The 19,034-nt window shown below is 43.7% G+C and overlaps 1 protein-coding gene across 44 annotated transcripts in view; it reads right to left on the bottom strand.

Annotated features, from left to right (window-relative positions):
* INPP4A (inositol polyphosphate-4-phosphatase type I A) overlaps positions 1–19,034 on the bottom strand; it is a 149,806-nt gene that overhangs the window by 48,576 nt on the left and 82,196 nt on the right. For 43 of the 44 annotated variants that reach the window (XR_922915.3, XR_007074203.1, XM_047444199.1 and 40 more), the window contains 7 exons: positions 12,322–12,440; positions 9,972–10,088; positions 9,609–9,688; positions 7,843–7,954; positions 6,836–6,926; positions 6,142–6,289; positions 1,810–1,940 (listed from right to left, as the gene is read on the bottom strand). Coding sequence is in view for 42 of the 44 variants with exons in the window: in XM_047444199.1 (XP_047300155.1) it covers positions 1,810–1,940; positions 6,142–6,289; positions 6,836–6,926; positions 7,843–7,954; positions 9,609–9,688; positions 9,972–10,088; positions 12,322–12,440 (798 nt within the window). In the remaining 2 variants the exon portion in view is untranslated. Of the gene's footprint in view, positions 1–1,809; positions 3,631–6,141; positions 6,290–6,835; positions 6,927–7,842; positions 7,955–9,608; positions 9,689–9,971; positions 10,089–12,321; positions 12,441–19,034 lie in introns of those variants that run through there. The other variant, XM_047444217.1, reaches the window with a different exon arrangement.

The raw sequence follows: 19,034 nt of genomic DNA, 5'->3' as shown, positions 1-19,034 counted from the left end.
CATTTCCAGGTGGCAGGTGGGTGAGATGCCAAGGGCAGCCTGCTGGTCAGGAGAGCTGGTTCTGGGTGCTCAGGTGGTGAATGGTGCCAGGGAGAACCGGCTTCAAAAAGCTATGGTAACGATGCTGCGCCTTCCGTGACTCAGCTCTCTACTGAGAGATCTGATACAAAAAATGTGATTCTGTGCAGCACAATGTCAGCACTACTATAATAAGCAAAGGGGTCCACGCCAGAGACTGCCTGTTCTGACTCCAGAGACCGCCATCATCAAAGAGCTAAGAATCTGGTTTGGCTAGAGCAATACATCTCAACTCTCGAAAGTGATGAAGAGGCCTTCTCATCCCTGCAGGCCCATCAAGATAACAAATGCAATATAGCATTGATTCCGGCCTTCTGACACACAAAATACAATGTTTCCCTGTTTACGCCTGGTTGGTTAAGGAGCCTGGACGCTATTTTATAACAAATATGCACAATCTTGTTTCTATAATCAGAATCCATAACTAATTAAATGGAGAATCACATGCCTACAAAATAAAGGGATTACAAATTAAACTGACAACCAGAGAGTAGAAGAAATAAACGTTTCATCTAGTGAAAAATATCACTGATACTGCCAGCATATGAATCACAGACCAGCTACTGTGTTCTCCAATTTGCCATAGGAGACTGCTCTCTATGGCCTGATACGTAGGGTGCAGTCCACAGACCGCACCATGAGCATCCGAGAGCCTGTGAGAAAGGCACAATCCCAGACTGCCACTTCAACACAATTCTCAAGGGATCCGGGTGCACAGTGACATTTGAGAAGCTCTGCTCTAGAAAACTCAAGGTTGTGTGGGTTCCACACTTTCCCAGGTAAGAGGCATCAGGCATGGGTGAGTCCCTTGGTTCCTTCCTGGGCAAATGTTGCCGTTTCTCCTAGTGACATACTCAGACCCTCTCTTCAGACTCACATCAAGCCTAAGCAACACCTCCTTGTTAGTCCTGCATTTGGCTTCTTCTCATTCAAGTTTATGGATGGGTTCACATGTTCTGTGTCAAAACCACATCAAGGGCTTATGGTTTTCCTTAAACCCTGAAATTCCATTATGTAAAAGAATCAAAGGGAAGAATCCAAAAATAGAGAATAATTCAAAATGCTAAAGCAATATATAGAGTAATGAAAAACCAAAAAATTCATTCCACTTGGAATAAAAAAGGAACAAGAACAGATTTCCAAATCTGCCCTGAGAGTGTTTTGAAAATCAAATGGCATCTTTCAAGGAGAAACAGTGAGGTGTTCATTCACACTCCATTTTGTTTTCTGAGCCTTAAAATACAGAGTTACCCCTTAACAATTCATATGTTTAATAGAAGTTACCACTGACTCTTTAAACTGGGAAATCAAGAAAAACTGCTTTGTTTCAAGGCGAGTGGCCTACATCCTTTCTGTTAGTACATCCTATACTGACATTAGTCCAAGATGAAGAAACAACATGAAGCAGTAATAGCCCGGGATTTCGCCTCCCCTAAATTTCATTCCACAGTGGCTGTTTTGGTAGATGACACCATAGGAGGACTCTTCACTGCAATTCACAGATTTGTCTTTTTAATTAAGATCAGAAAAACCCATATTTGAAAGAATTCACACCTACATAAGAAGTTATTTTTAAAAATCCATTAAAGTGTCTGTCAGTGGGAATGTGTAAGTGACCCTGTGTTCCAGATCCCTGGCTGGGAAAGCAGAGGGAGTGACTGAGTGAGAGTGAGAGTGTGTGTGTGTGTGTGTGCGCACGCGTGTGTGGTGACAGCATGGGGGTGCACCCACCTCTGTACTGATGGAGGTCGGTCAGGTTCTCCTGGTATGTGAGGATGATGGTCTGGTACTGGGTGACAATTTGGCGCCGGAGGCTCTCCCAGCAAGGGGACAGCTCTCCCAGCTCCTCCAGCTCACACACTCTGAAAGCAAGACACAGATGCATCAGGCTGTGGGCTAACTGGTTTCCCCAGAGAGGCCCAGGAGGTCTACCCAGGACAACAGCATTTGCAGGGGAAGTATCATGGATGCCCAGGGCAGGCCAGGACAATGGTTACACTGCCTGTCTAAAGGGCAACTGGGTTGGAGGAGAGGACAGACAGCTACATGAAAAGCAGACCACTGACCACGTGGCAGTGTGTCCAGAGTAGCTTTTCACGGGAATTTAGTCTAATGTTCAAGGGAAACTAAGTGGAGGTGGGGAGAAGAAGACAGGCTGCTAGGGAGAAGCTTTACCCTGACGACCTGCAGGTGCCCTCAAGCACAGGCTCAAACCACAGCCCACCTGAGTCTGGGCAAAACAACGTGTGATCCTCCCGGAACAGAGAGGACTGCAGGCTGTGAGTAATCGCAATGAGCCACCTCCTGCTTGCCTCGTCATCTCCCCTAGGAGGCTATCAGGACAGCGCTTCTCATTGCCTCCCAGGTTCTCCTGAGGTATGGGCCTTCTGCCCTCCCGGATAGGGGAGCCGCAGAATCTAAAACCGCTCAGCTGCAGCCTAGAGTTGGCTCCTCAGCAGCGGAATACCACAGATCCTGCTGCAGTCACAAGCCCTTCTGTCTCATTGCCATCCTTTTTGGGTACGGGACAAAGACCATGGGAGCTGGCACCTCTGATTCTTCTTCCTTCCGTGTCTATGTAAGAGAGGAGCTAGATTGAGACCATCCTGGCTAACATGGTGAAACCCCGTCTCTACTAAAAAATACAAAAAATTAGCCGGGCGTGGTGGTGGGCGCCTGTAGTCCCAGCTACTTGGAAGGCTGAGGCAGGAGAATGGCGTGAACCTGGGAGGCGGGGCTTGCAGTGAGCCAGGATCGCACCACTGCACTCCAGCCTAGGCAATAGAGACTCCATCTCAAAAAAAAAAAAGAGAGGAGCTGTCTGAACCTAAAAGTGGCCCGCTGTGTCACTGTGGATGAAATCAGGCCTGACCTTGTCTTTATGTGTGTGCTTGACAGAGGCACAGGGTAACAGAAGGGGGAAGGGGGAAGAGGAGGAAGAGAAGAGAAGAAAAAGAGGAATTGTTATCTCCAAAAAAAAAAACCTGTATAAGAACTGAAATATAAATTCCTTAGCTCAGCAATGAAGAACAGCTACACAATCATAACAGCAAAATCACAAGATGGATTTAAAAACAAAAAGCATAACCAAATTAGGAAAATGGGGACTGGGAAGGTATAAAAGGCCAAACCCTCAGCATAGAAAATCGGTAGCTAATCCCTGAAATTGATTAATGAAGAGAACACTTTACACATATATGTGGAAATACATCAGTAAACACTAAAACTCTCAAAAATTGGTTGCTTCCGGGAAGTAGATCAGAAAGTAGAGCCCCGAGTTGTTTTTAGTTAAAAACCTTTCTGCAATTTTTTTTTTATACTGCACTCATGTTTTCCTTTGAGAAAGAAAAAAAGCTAAATTTTACATAAGTTCTTAGGAAATCTGACTTGTCTAAATTGTTTTTAAAAGCTGTGCCATTTTATTATTATTAAAATAGCAAAATTAATATAAAAGGACACCCAGAGCAGGTAGGGCTACGTGGCCAGCCGGCCCCATGGCCTCAGGCCGCTCTGAGCACAGCAGCTGTCTGCCAGGCCGCTGCTAGTTTCTCTGGAATGTGTCTGCCCGTGTTCATGTGGTGGCTTCCTATGCTTCAGGTGTTAGTTTAATGTCATCATCTCACAGAGGCCTGCCCCGATCACCCTCTTTCTTCTCACAGTTCCCTTTTCATTTCCAGCACACGCTGAAACATCTGGAGTTCCTGCGTGAGGTTCCCAGTTCTGTTTCCAACCAACATCCACGTTGAGCTCACCAAGAAGCCTCCCACACTGAGAACAGTGCCTGACATGTGGTTGTTGCTAAAAACAACAACAAAACCCTTGAACTAAAGCACTTGTTAAATGAATGAACTCTTGGCCAGGAATGGTGGGTCATGCCTGGAATCCCAGCTTTTTGAGAGGCCAAGGTGGGAGGATCACTTGAGGCCAGGAGCTAGGGACCAGCCTAGGCAACACAGCAAGACCCTGTCTCTACAACAAATGAAAAAATTAGCTGGGCATAGTGGTGTGTGCTTGTAGTTCTATCTGTTCAGGAAGCTGAGGTAAGAGGATGATGGCTTGAGCCCAGGAGTTTCAGGCTGTAGTGAGCTATGATGGTGCCACTGCACTCCAGCCTGGGTGACAGAGCAATACCCTGTCTCAAGCTAACAAAAAATGAATAAACTCTTTAAAGTTATAATACACCATGTAATGGGAAATTAAAACATAAAAACTGAAGATACATGGAAAAGTAGATTGCCACTGTGTAAATATACACAAATATGGGCAAAGCTGAATGAAAATTTTTATAATTAAAATATTAAAATATGTGCATATATAGAGAAAGCAATTGGCAAAATATTAACAATTGGTGATTTTAGGTGAAAGATATCTAGGTGCTCATTGCATTCTTCTTGCATTTTTTTTTTTTTTTTGAGACGGAGTCTCGCTCTGTCACCAAGGCTGGAGTGCAGTGGCGTGATCTCGGCTCACTGCAAGCTCCGCCTCCTGGGTTCACGCCATTCTCCTGCCTCTGCCTCCCGAGTAGCTGGGACTACAGGCGCCCACCACCGCGCCCGGCTAATTTTTTGTATTTTTAGTAGAAACGAGGTTTCACCGTGTTAGTCAGGATGGTCTCAATCTCCTGACCTCGTGATCCACCTGCCTCAGCCTCCCAAAGTGCTGGGATTACAGGCGTGAGCCACTGCGCCTGGCCTCTTGCCCTTTATTTTTAAGTTTGATGTTTTTTCCAAGTAAAAAAATTAAACAAAATAGCTCTTTGAAAACAGCAGGATTCTGGCTGCCTTGCTTTCTTTCACGCTTCTGTTATATTGTGTTTATAATTAACACCATTTGAGGACAAGGAGGAGAAATAACAATCTGAGACTATCCCCCAAAGTTCATATGTTAGAAACTTCATCCTGAATGCCACAGTTTTGAGAAGTGGGACCTTTAAGAGATGACGAGGTCATGAGGGCTCTGCCCTCATGAATGGATTGATGTCATTATCATGGGAATGGGTTGGTTATTACAACAGTGGGTTTGTTATAAAAGCAAGTTTGGCCTTCTCTCAAGAGCGCTCTTGCTGTGTGACGCCTTCCACCACAGGATGGTGCAGCATGAAGGCCCTCCCCAGATGCCAGTACCATGCTTTTGGACTTCCCAGTTTCCAGAACCTTGAGTCAAATACTTTTCTGATCATTAGAAGTTACTCATTCTCTGGCATTCTGTTACAGCAGCACAAAATTAAAACAGAGAGAGACAGGGGACATAATATGCACGGCCTGGGCCACCTGTTGGGCTTCTCCTCACCTTAGAACTGACAAAATATGCCCTGGGTTGAGAGATGCAGAAGGGTTAAGACCCTTATGGGACCACAGTGAGCTGACAGGTTATACTCAGTCTTCTGGAGCCCTTATCTATGACCCTAACCTAGAAAACTACTGCTGGGCAGCTAGGATCAAACAATTACCAGTTATTTCTAACTTTCTGAAGGACCAGTGAGAGGGGAAAGAAAAGAAGAGAAGGAAGGCCGGGCATGGTGGCTCACACCTGTAATCCCAGCACTTTGGGAGGCCGAGGTGGGTGGATCATCTGAGGTCAGTAGTTCGAGACCAGCCTGACCAACATGGTGAAACACCATATCTACTAAAAATACAAAAATTAGCCAGGCCTGGTGGCGCACACCTGTAATCTCAGCTACTTCAGAGGCTGAGGCAGGAGAATTACTTGAACCTGGGAGAAGAGGCTGCATTGAGCTGAGATCGCACCACTGCACTCCAGCCTGAGCGACAGAGCAAGACTCTGTCTCAAAAAAAAAGAGTAAAGAAGAGAAAAGAGGAGGTTCTGAGTGTGGGGCACACATCTGGGTTCAAATACACTGTCTTATGAAATCCTTGCACAGGAATCCATGATCCCAATGAGCAAACTGAGGCTTAGGCAAGCCAAGGCCACAGAGCTGCAGGGGGAGAGGCTGTGTTTGCAGTCCAGTCTATCTGATGCCAGTGCTCTGCCCGCTATATCTCAGAAAGGAAGGGGCACATGACATGGGTATGATGGACAGTCAGTCCTTCCATGTGGCCTCACCTGGCTGCATCTTCCTCTAGTAGGAGCTTCACGAACTGCCGGGGCACGTGCAGGGAGAGCACGCTCTCTGCCATCTGCTCCAGGATCCGCAAATGGTTACCATCAGTGGTTGGAAACCGGTACATGCGGCAGATGGCACCACCGAACACTGAGGTGGGATGACAAGGGAGACAGGCTGCAAATGAACTGGCTGCAGACCTGCCTCATGGGTTCTCCTCCCCCGGCCCTCAGGGATGGTGACACCTCAAGTCCTCTCACTGTTCATCTCATGGGAATTAAAACGCTTACACCGAAAACCCACCAAGTGGCTAGGTCTGAACATTTCTTCCCAGCAACATGCAATCTTCCTGTCCCAGAACATGTAACTAACTCTAAAGTGCAAGCAGCTGGGGGCAGGGAGGCTGTCGTCAGTCACCAACCCCAATGTGAAACAGAAAAGAGTGAGATGAAGTATTACTTCCTTGGAGTATTACTAATTCTTTTTTATTTTTTAATCCTCTTTCAAGGAAAATTATAATTGTTTTTTGTGATAACTCTTTATATGCTGCAAAAAGAACACAATGATAAGCAGCAGAGAGGTGACAATTAGGGTGCATGGCTGGGACAATCGCAGCAGGTGGGGAGCAAAGGGGACTGCGGGCCCAAGTGGATACTCACTAGAGAGGCAAGAATACCAAAGGAGGAAGCTGTTTACCCGATTTCAGCAAAGTGTCCTTTCGCAATGAAGCGTATTTGGATCGGATTCCTAACGCCTCCGTCAAGCTCTCATCGACAGGAAGAACCATCTGATAATGTATAAGGAAATGCACAAGAAAACTGTGAGATTCAGATGACTCCAGAACATTCAGCAGAAACAGTGGCCTAAATACATCATAACAGAAGTCTTAAGATGAATATCCACCATGAACTCTACAATAAATATGCTGCCCAAGCCACAAAGTCATTCACCTCCCAGTGTGTTGAATCACTTCATGCGCACACAATTCTCTAGGCATGCATGGTTTCTCAGTCACTTCACCTTGTGTGTCAGTGTTCTGATGTAAAAACGAAAAGGAAGAGAATAGATGATGCCAAGGGATATTTCCAGAACTAACATTCTGGGCTTATTTTGGGTGAAATGAGACATCTCTGTATTGTACAACAATGACTACTTACCAGCGCTAGGGCTCTGAAATTAGAATTTTTCTTTGAGTGTCTGTGTGAGAGACTATGCATGACAGTGGGTGCAGGAGGGTGTAGCTAGAGAGGGGGAGGAGGACCAGGGAAGAGGGGAGGATGTGAAAAGGTGAAGGTGTGCACCAGGAGACTGCAGGGCATGCATGTGTCTGGGAGAGGAAGGTATTAAAACAGGACAGATGACCTGGGTCCTAAATGCCTCTTTGCTCACCCTCCACACCCAAGTTGCCCCCTGACTGCAGTTCTTCCAGTAGGGCTCTTTCCCACTCACTCCTGCCCTCTAGAATTGGCCAGTGTGGCACCCAGAACAGAAGCCGGCTCCAGGGCAGCAGGGCTTTACAGGCAGGAGCCCTTTTTCCTGCTTCAAGGTGTGCCTAAGGAGGACCGGAGTGTCCGTGGGGAGCAGCATCAAGCAGCAGGCCCTGCCCTTTGCTGAGCACAGAGGCTAAGTCCACGAGGGCTGCATTTTTACTGATTAATTCCCTTGCTCTTTCTAAGGGAGAGGAGGAAAGTGGTGTAACTCACCCTCCCATTGACAGTGTCCACAGACCGGGTCACAGGGGGCCGTTGGTCTGACTTCTCCTCCATCTGCCAGCCAATCACGGTGATGTTACCTACACGGTCACTCTCTGCAGACCTGTGATGCACAACATGCTTTAATGAGTGGTGCTGCAACTGTGCTTCTTTTCTGCTGAAATACAAAGCCCTAGCCGTACTGGGTCATCAGGGTCCTGGGGGCAGCAGGGCCGAGCTGACTGACCAGTCAGTCAGCATTCACTGTGCACACAGGGCTCCTCTCAGGCGAGACAGACAAGGAAACCATGGGGCACAGTGGAGGGCTGTGTCTGAACGGACACGCACCACAGGGAAGTGTGGACGTGCTGGTGAAGTCAGAGGGGGCCTCCCTGAGGAGGAGCCAATGCTGTTCCTGAGCTGCTGCCAGTGCCTGTGCTCACCCCTGCCCAGAGGGTGAGGGGGACACGTGTCAGAGTGAGGACTACAGAACACCTTGTTCTGGCCCTGGGCCCTTTTCTGTTCCTTCCCACCCCACCTTGAGGCTTATATTAGCCCAAGGCCTAAGCCTGGACTCCAAGTAATGGAATCCAGCCAGGGCTTCCTGAAGCCCTTGAATCCTGATATGACACAGCTGATGCTACCCCAGCCTCAGTCAGCTTTACCCTGACATCCCGAAGGGTGGCTGATGGTGGCCTGGGCTCATCTGATTCATCCAGGGAACCTGGGGACACCCTGGAACTTCAGGCTTTCTATTTACAAGGTCTCACTTAATCAGGTTCTAAATTTTTGTCTGGTCCCATCTACTGACCATTTCCTTTGTGATTTCCTTGCCCTGTCCTCGTGCCTGTGAAGTCCTTTCCTGCTCTATCTGTTCAATCATCAGCCGCCTTTAGCTCCTTTAAAAAGAATGATGTCTATTTTGTACATTTAACTCTAACCCAACTAGAGTTAACTCTGACACATGACGTAACTAAATATTTTTCTCAAAGCCCTTTCCCTTACATGATCCCTCTCATTTTACCAAAGATGGTTCCTTTTTCCTGAATCAAGTTCTCTAAACAAACTAAGGGCTGCTGCAGGGCTCTGATCCTGTCCACTGATTAGACAGCCAATGCCTGCAATACTGTCTTTACTTATAGTAGCTTCAGAATGTCTCAATACTGCAGGGACTTAATTGTTTGTCAAATTTTCCTTGCTACTCTAGATTACTTTCCCAGATCACAGTTCTCCAATTTTTACCTTTTTCTGAAAAAAGACCACCATGTCAGGGTTTTGGTGGGAAGTGCCCCTAAAATGATTTGGAAGGACTGACATCCTGATGTCTTTCATCTTTCCATCCTGGGAGACAGTGGGCGTTTCCCTTTCATTCACTCATTCCTTCCATAAATATTTATTGAGCACCAGACACATTCTAGGTGTCTGGGAAATAGCAGTGAAGCAAAGCAGACAAAACTCCCTGCTCTATGGGAGATTATATTCCACTGGGGAGGGGCTAAATAATGGAGAAACACACTTAGTATTACTAGATATGTATCTAGGCCTTCCTTTAGGGCTTGGTACAGCTGTGCTCATATCTCCTATGGATGCTAAAAGTTTCCATTCTCTGATAGGCTAAGTAATTTGTTTCGCCTCAATAGACAACACAGTGTCCCCACGCTGACTGGCTTCTGGGAAGGGAAGGGTGCTCTCTCAGTATAAGAAGTGGGTCCTTTCCCCATCTGTCCCTGGACCTCATGATTCCAGATCCTTTCAAGGGAATAAAACTGAATACCAACCTTAGTGTTAAATGCAACCTATGATGCCTGTCCTGGAGCAGATCTTTGACAATGAACGTTCCAGAGCCCAGTAAATACATCTGAGGAAGAGAAGGAAGAGAGGCAGCATTGGTGCGCTTGCTTTGCTTCTGATGCAATTACCATGGCCCCAGAGAGTCCAGCTGACTGCTTCCCACAACACCTCTTACCCTTATGTCAGAAGCCCAATGGGAAAGCTTAACAATTCGCAAAGACAAATGCATTTAGACATGAGTTAACTTGTGAGCCAGTAGTGAAGTCAATCTGTGTTCATCTCTCATTCAAACGATTATATAATTTTTTCAAAGGGAAGAAAATCCCACGAACTACAACACATTACTTAACTGTTCCCTGAGATCTATCTTTGACATCATACACGGAGAGTTTGACTTGTGTCATCTGATTGATAAGAGAGTCTTGAAAGAAGGCAATACTGCTTAGAAATATAGGATTGTTGGTTCCCTAGAACAGAAAAGGAAATAATCAGAACACAGGGTTGGATTTTTAAAATGTAATTGCTTTTGAAATACACCAACATTTTCAGAATGAGAAACTAACATTCTCACTGCCTTGAATCAACACAAATGCTAAAGGCGGCTTAAATAAATACATAAAACAAACAAACAAAAAAACTCTGCTTTTTAAAAGAGAAAAAAGAAGTCTGACATAGACCATTACAGATCCACATACAATAAATCAGCCCATTACACAAGCTGTGCCTGAGGACTCATTTCATGGGTTTCACACTCAACAGGAGGAATTTTTAAAAACTGAAACAAGTTGGATGTCCACATGCATTCTTAGTTTTATAACTTAAAGTGTAATGTGTATGTAAACCTACTACTTTGAGTTATTCCTTTAAGAGGTACAAATAAGCAGATGAAAGAGAGAAAATGAATGGCTTAAGTGGTTTATTATGTATTTCTAGAAGCCTGTGTTTGGAATAATTAAAGCCTGACTTTTCAAAAGCTATCCTTTTTTTAGGATCAGCTACTAGTTTTTTGATCATAGGTGACTATTTCCTGGCAGCCTGGCCATGTCCTCCAAAGCCCCGTAATACCATACTCTCTCAGGCACCAGGTAATTATCACAGCCACCATTCCCTGGGCCTCTGGCTCCTTTTTCTCTCTGGAGATCCAGATCCAGGTGGTCAAGCTGACTGGACAGCTCCACCTGGGTGGGCTGCTGGGGCCTCAACCAACTCATCTCTCCCTCCACCTGCCCTTGGCTAAGGCCACCTCTGACTCCCTTTCCAAGCAGGCTAAAAGCCCGGGCATTCACTTTGGTGCCTTCTTCTCTGTTGTTCTCAACCATCCAGTGATCATGAACTCCCCTTGCAAGGTCCACCTTCAAAGTCTCTGTCATACGCTCCTTTCTTTCCACTCCCTCCAACTCTCACTCCCCCAAATGCCTGTCCTATACAAGTTAGGACATCTGGTCAGGTGACTCCCCTGCACAGAAGCCTACACTGGCTCACTACCATCTGCTGATAAACTCCACGGCCTTCAAGGCTTTCTTTCCTTGCTCTCCTACTTGTGCCTTTCACACACTGACCAGGATACAGTTAGACCCCAAACCTGCATGATCCTTCCCTGTGGTCACACATTTGCATAGCCACAACAGAACTTTGGCGTGCTCTTCATGTGGAGTCCCCCGACTGGCTACCTGGGCATCACTTGGGAGCTTGTAAGAAATGCAGTCTTGGGCCCTACCCCAGACATACTGAAGTAGAATTTCATGAAGCCCCACCCTAGGAAGCCTGCTCTGACTCTCACAGCCAGATAGGATCCCAGCCTCCTGGTGCTCTCCTTACCTTCCTACTCCAATACTTCCCATACTCTGCTGTGCACACGGGTAGCCATATTCATTTCTGCCTCCCCACCCACCAGCTGGTCAATTCCTCAGGGCAGGGACTGTGCCCTGGTGGGCTCTGTATCATCCACAGTGCCTGGCACTATGCTAGATGTGTAGGTAGCACTCGACAACTGCTTAGAAAGCAGAATTGTTGACGTGAACTTGGAAATAAGTTTCTAAGAGACTGAAAGGGTGGGCTAGCTTCCAAAATGCACAACTGGTGAAGAAGAAGAAATGCAGTTTAAGTTTGATAATTCTTCACTTTACAAATAAAACTCTGCAGAATCTCATGCCACCAACTCCTACACTTAGTGTTATGTAATGTGCTTGATGATCTAAAAGGATCATCCATAAATGTTTATCCACAAATGTTTATCATGTAACTTAGTGGGAAAAGTTAACATGTGACACAAAACTCAAAAGGCTGTAAAAACAAAAACCAACAAAAATAGGGGTATGTCTGGACAAGAGGGTGGTAAATAGTTAATACTCTTCTAAGCTTTGATTAATGAGCACCACTCTTGCAAAGTAGCAGCCAATTGGAGGTGACAAGAAGGAATTAGGTCTTACCTCTTACAAGGCAATGAAGCTTACAGGATCATTGTTCAAAAACAAGCTGCCAACAGTTAATCAATAACTGTAAAGGATATGGCAATATAAATGCCACCCAGATGAGTAAATGTGATGAAAAATATCAATGTACTGAAAACCCATGGGAAAATAGCAACAACTCACGTAAATACAGCTTCAGCTACAGATGCACAAGTAACTGAACATCAGGACAAGAGACACCACTAGAGCATGTCCCACAGCCCCTCAGAGAGAGACCACCAGCACCCACCTCAATGATCTCCGTCTGTGCATGCTTCGTCCAGAATGCCTGAGGAGGGGTGGTGACACTCACCGCAACAAAACTATTTGGCTTTCGATCTAGCGATGGAGTATGCAGCTCACTGCAAGCTACAGAATCAACACGGGAAAGAAATGAATCCTTTAAAACCAGACTCTGATTAGTTTTCTGTTCCAAACACATTCAAAGAAAGCACAAAGAGTAAATGACATTCAAAGAGATGAGACGATCACATCGTCAGTTGTCACAGGGAAGTGATTTTTTAAATTTGAAACAATCTCTTTTCACGCCCCCTCCCCGCCACCCTCCAAGACAGCAATGTCATAACTTCAGTGAAAGGCTGCGCTGACGGGGGCTTCCCATGTCCATGGAGTGGAACACAAAGCCAGAAATCTCATATAGGTCCAACCCTTCAAGTCCGACCTCGGTAACTATTCCAACTCTAACCAATTGAGTGAAGGAGCCACAGAGTCTACGAAATCTAAGACAGAGCTACCCATGCTTGCATCCTGTGACTGCTGTGGCTGACTCTGAGCATATGGTGCTCCACGTGTCTTGGCAGGTGGATGGATGGATGCTGGAAGAAAATTAGAATTCTATGGCAAAGTAAACAAAGCTCTTTTTTTTTTCTTAAGTGAGCCATTGTTCATTTACAGTCAATGATAAACCACATATATGACAATGGTCTCACAGATTATAATGGAGCTGAAAAATTCCTATTGCCTAGGGATGTCATAGCCATCCTAACGTCCCAGAACAAACACATTACCTTTTCTATGTTTAGACACACAAATACTTACCATTGTGTTACAATTGCCTATAATATTTAGTACAGTAGCTGTCCAGGTTGGTAGCCTAGGAATAACAGGCTATACATGTAGCCTAGGTGCCTAGGAAGCTGTGCCATCTGGGATCCTGTTAGTACACTCTATCATGTTCACACAAGGATGAAATCACCTAATGACACATTTGACAGAACGTAGCCCCACCATTAAATGACACACGACTATACTTAATGCCACCAAACTGTATACTTAAAAATGGTTAAAATAATAAATTTTATGTACATTTTATCGCAATTTTAAAATAAAATAGAAAAAAGTATTAACTCCAATTTAAAAATATGTTATTGTGTCCACAACAGGTGAGACAAATGCACAGGAAATTCAGAGAGAGGAGGAGTGATGGGATGAAGGAAGACACTAACAAAAATGAAAGAAAGAACAGGGAGAAAAAAGGAGAGATTAAAAGACTGAAAAATACAAAGAGGGAAGGAGGAGATATGAATTTGGAAGGGTGGGGGAGAGCAATACCTTGGCATGTTTTGAGGAGAGTTTACCTGGGAAGATATCTTTGTCATGTTCATTCAGAGTAAGTTACTGGCTATCTCCATCCTTTGAAAGGACCTGTGGTGATCTAACTAACCACTGTTCACAGCTCGATCTGCTCTTTTGGGTTCTAATTACACTTTTTCTGACATTAAGATTGCCATATCAGGTCTCTCCTTTGTTAGCATACACATTTGTGTGTGTGTTTTTCTATAGTTGCTATTCATGCAGCTATAACCCAGATGTTTACCCCAAATCTTATGTCTTTGAATTTTCAATGCTTTCTCTATTGGTGAACGTCCATCTGGAATCATCAGCCTTCTACTTAGGAACATCTCTTAGCACTGTTTATACTGTAAGTGTGGTGCTGACATTCTTTCAGCTTTTAAGGTTTGAAAATGTCTTTATTCCACCTTACTTCTTGAAGGAAATGTTCTCTAAGTAGTCATTTTCTCTAAGCCCTTTAAATATATTGTGCCTAGGCCTCTGTTTTTTCTGTTATGAAGTCAGCGGTCGGTCTAGTTGTTGCTACTTTAAGTGTTGTGTTTTCTGGTAGCTTTTATAATTTTCCCACTGAGTATGGCTTTCAGTAGTTTTATTATGATGTGCCTAGGTACATTTGTTTTTATTTGTTCTGCGAATTGTTGTATTACTTTGGGAGAAATGCTCAACTATAAATATTGCTTCTGACCCTTTTCTGTGTTCCTTCTTAAAGATACAAAATAAATGTAACATTAGACCTCTCACTATGCTGTTTTTACTCTCCTCTGATTTTTTTTTCCATTATTTTTATTGCTCTGGCTTCATTTTGTAAATTTGCTTCTTGAAATTTTTCTTTTAATTCTAGAATATCTATTTGGTTCTTTTCATGGTTTCTAGTTCTCTGAAAATGTTCAATAATGTCCTTATTCTTCTTTACCTAGTGTTATGACTGAATGTTTGTGTCCCCCTAAAGTTTCTTTAAGTAGGTCTGTCCTCTGACACAAACCCCAAAATTTATGTGTTGAAATCTTATATCCCAATGTGATGGTATTAGGGGTGGGGCCTTTCAGAGGTGATTAAGTCATGAGGGTAGAGTCTTCATGAATGGGATTAGTGCCTTTAAAAGAAGAGACACAAGAGCTTGCTTCCTCTGCTCTGCTCTCTGCCATGTGAGAACACAACAAGACGACGTCCATCTGCAAACCAGGAAGCTGGCCCCCATCAGACAACAGATATCCTAGCATCTTTATCTTGCACTTCTCAGGTTCCAGAACTGTGAGCAATAAATTTCTATTTTTTAAGTCACCCAGTCTACAATATTCTGCTATAGCAGCCCCTATTAACTAAGACATATAGTCAATAACAGTTATTTTAGTGTCTGTCTCTTAACTCTAATATATACAGCCCCTTTGGATCTATTTCTATGTTTATTGTTTCTGTTCATATTTCTTATCTCCTCATGTTTCTGAGAATTCATGATTTTATGCTGAACACTATATTTTAAGAATTGCTTGTAGAAATTATTTGAGGTCTAGGATGGTGCTTTCTCCAGACAAGATTTGTAACTACTTCTGCAAGGTTCCAAGGAGCACTAGCACTCTAAAATATTTTCATTTACTTTCAGAAACTTAATGAACCTGTAGTCCCTATGAACACCTGCTTCTGGTTCCTTTACTCTAGAGGTTTAGATTTAGCCTTTTGGATTCTAGATCAAAGTGAGAGGGGTTTCAACAAGTATCCTTCCCCTAACGGACCCTAGAAAGCAATCCCTGCCACTTCTCACTGAGACACTGTCTAAAGCACTAAGTGTCTTTAGACACTTAGTGTCTAATCCATCTAATCCTTTCTCTTGGCCTTTCTCTTGGGAACCACTGTAAGCCCTCAAGGGAATAAGTGAGCCTCTGCTCTCAGATTCTTTATTGTCCTATCAGTTCTCTGGTAGCATGGACCAGGTAGTTCAGATTTTTTTTTTTTTTTCACTTTTTCTAGTTGTCCTTATGGTAGATTTGATGTTTGTTATTTATCTAGAAAAAGATTTTCTTTCTCCTTAGAATTTGTTAGTCTCATAAGGAGATGCCTGGCAGCTGGAATATTCTTGAGTCTTAAGTCCATTCTTCCCTCTGGAAAGAATTCTTCTGTTGCTTCTGGCTTGCTGCTACTCCTCTTTCCAGCTCTCTCTCTGCTTCTAGGTCTCCTATCAATCAAATACTAGAACTACCAAATCTGTCATATCTCTTCATTAACAATCTCTCTTTCTTGTTATTTTGTACTTGAACTGTGAGATGGTTCCTTCATTTACCTTCACAGATTTAATAAGAGTTTTCAGCAGCATTGCTTTAATTTTTACTACGTTTCTTTTAAGATATGATTCACATATCATAAAGTTCACCCTCTTAAAGTACACAATTCTGTATTTTTTGTCTTTTTTTGTTTTTTATTTTGAGATGGAGTCTCACTCTGTTGCCCAGGCTGGAGTGCAGTGGCGCGATCTCAGCTCACTGCAAGCTCTGCCTCCCGGGTTCACGCCATTCTCCTGCCTCAGCCTCCCGAGTAGCTGGGACTACAGGCGCCCACCACCACGCCCAGCTAATTTTTTGTATTTTTTTAGTAGAGACGGGGTTTCACCGTTTAGCCAGGATGGTCTGGATCTCCTGACCTCGTGATCCACCTGCCTCGGCCTCCAAAGTGCTGGGATTACAGGCATGAGCTATTGCGCCCAGCCCAATTCTGTGGTTTTTTAAAGACATTCAGAGTTGTGCAACCATCACCACAAATTCCTGAACATTCTCATCAATCCAAAAACAACAAACCAAACCCATTACCCCCATTCACTGGTCCCCCAAGAAACCACTGATCTACTTTCTATCTATATAGATTTGTCTAGTCCATATATTTCATATAAGTGGAATCATACAATAGGTGGCTTTTTGTATCTGGCTTCTTCAATTAGCACATTATAAAGGTTTATCCATACTCTAGCAAATATCTGTACTTCGTTCCTTTTTATTGATAACATTCAATTGTATAAACACACCACATACTGCTTATTCATTTTTGAAAGATATTTTTGATGAATAGAAATTTTTTTTTTTTTTTTTTTGAGACAGTCTCGCTCTGTTGCCCAGGCTGGAGTGCAGTGGTGCGATCTCGGCTCACAGCAAGCTCCGCCTCCCGGGTTCACGCCAATTCTCCTGCCTCAGCCTCCCGAGTAGCTGGGACTACAGGCGCCTGCCACCACGCCCAGCTAATTTTTTTTGTATTTTTAGTAGAGATGGGTTTCACTGTGTTAGCCAGGATGGTCTCGATCTCCTGACCTTGTGATCTGCCTGCCTCGGCCTCCCAAAGTGCTGGGATTACAAGCGTGAGCCACTGCGCCTGGCCGAATAGAAAATTCTTGGTTGTCTTTTTCTTTCAGCAGTTTGAATACATCACCCTACCACCTTCCTGACCTCCATGGTTTCTGATGAGAAATTAGCTGTTACTCTTATTGATGATCCCTTATACATGATAAGTCACTCCTTTCTTGCTATTTTAAAGATTCTGTCTTTGGCTTTCAATGATTTGAGTATGATGTATCAAGTGTGGATCTCTTTGAGTTTATCCTATGTGGAGTTCATTGGGCTTCCTGGATATGTAGATTCATGTTTTCCATCAAACATGGGATGTTTTTGGTCATGATTTATTCAAACATTTTTATCTCCCCCCTTCTCAATTTACTCTTCTTCTGGAACTCCTATTATATGTATATTGGTGCACTTGATTGTGTCCCACAGGTCTCTGAGGCTCTGTTCATTTTTCTTCATTCTTTTTTCCTTTCTGTTCCTCAGACTGGATAATCTCAATTGACCTGTCTTCAAGTTTGCTGATTCTTTCTTCTGCCTTCTCAAACCTACAGTTGAGCCTCTCTTAATGAATTTTTCATTTCAGTTATTATAATTTTGAACTCCAGAATTTGTATTTAGATATCTTTATAGTTTCTATCTCTTCAAGTCTCTATTTGGTGAGACACTGTTCTCATACTTTCCTCAGTTCTTTAGACATACTCTCCTTCAGTTATTTGAACATACTTAAAATAGCTGATTTAAAAATCTTTGTCTACTAAGTTAAACATTTGTGCCTCCTAGGGATGGTTTCTACTGACTGTATGGGTTTTTTCCATCTGTGTATGAGCCATACTTTCTTTTTTGCAACATCTCATAACTTCTTGTTGAAAACTACACATTTTAAATAATATAATGTGAGATCTCTGGAATTAGATTCTCTCCCTTCCCCAAGCTTTGTTGTTGCTGCTCTTTTGTGTGGCTGTTTCTTCAGTGCCTTTTCTGATCTAATTCTGTAAAGTAATACTCTTTGTCATGTGTGGCCACTGAAGTGACTGCTTCATTAGGTTAGTAGTCAGATAATGGTTGGACAGATATTTCCTTAAATACCAGAATCACAGACCTTTGCTGTAGCTAAGAGTCCCTGTGTGTATACTGGGGTGCATTTTCAATGTTCAGGAAGGCAGTTTATAACTCTGTCTTAGCCTTCATTTGCCACTTGCATAGAACCTCAGGGTCAATCTCAGGTAATTGTTTAGGGCCTTTTCACGTCTCCTGAGTATGCACACAGCTCTGGACATGTGCACAGCCCTTCACTGGCCTTTGAAGTTCCCAGGAATATGAAAGAGCTTTTCAAATCTCCCTGTGAATATCTCATTCCCCAGCTTTCCCTTTTAAGGTTTTTTTGGTTAGCTTTTTGTTTGCTCCAACTGTTACTACTACCTCTGGCAGCTGCAATGTTAAAAAATGGACAGTGATTGTTTTTGACAAACATTCTCAGGGAAAAAGCTGTTGTCACTGATTCTGAGTTAAGCCAAATAAAGGCAGGTACAGGATGTAGGGTTTTCCAGGGAACTGCCAGACAGGCCAAATAATGATAACTCTCTAAGAAAGGGGCTTTTTTGTAGGATCTCCAACCCCATTCTGTCCCCTTCAGGGACTTTTAGGCTATTGATTTTCACTATAACATCAAAGATGTTGCCTTTAAAGTCTACTTGGAGCTAGAGAGAGGACGATAGCAACAGGGCAAGTTAAAACATCATAAAGCTCTCTAAGAACCCATTTGATATGATTTGGATGTTTTGTCCCCTCCAAATCTCATGCTGAAAGGTAATCCCCAGTATTGGAGGTAGGGCCTGGTGGAAGGTATTTGGATAATGGGGGACAAATCCCTCATGAATGACTTAGTGCCATCCCCTTGGTGATGAGTGAGTTCTAGCTCTGAGTTTACGCAAGACCTGTTTGTTTAAGTGTGTGGCACCTCCTCCCTCTCTCGTTTAATCCTTCTCTCATCATGTAAGATGCTCGCTCCCGCTTTTCCTTCTGCCATAAATAAAACCTCCCTGAGGGCTCA

This window comes from Homo sapiens, chromosome 2, assembly GCF_000001405.40.
Source record: "Homo sapiens chromosome 2, GRCh38.p14 Primary Assembly".
Taxonomy (NCBI): Eukaryota; Metazoa; Chordata; class Mammalia; order Primates; family Hominidae; genus Homo; species Homo sapiens.
Note: the sequence above shows the minus strand (reverse complement) of the source record. Positions and strands in the feature narration are given on the sequence as shown.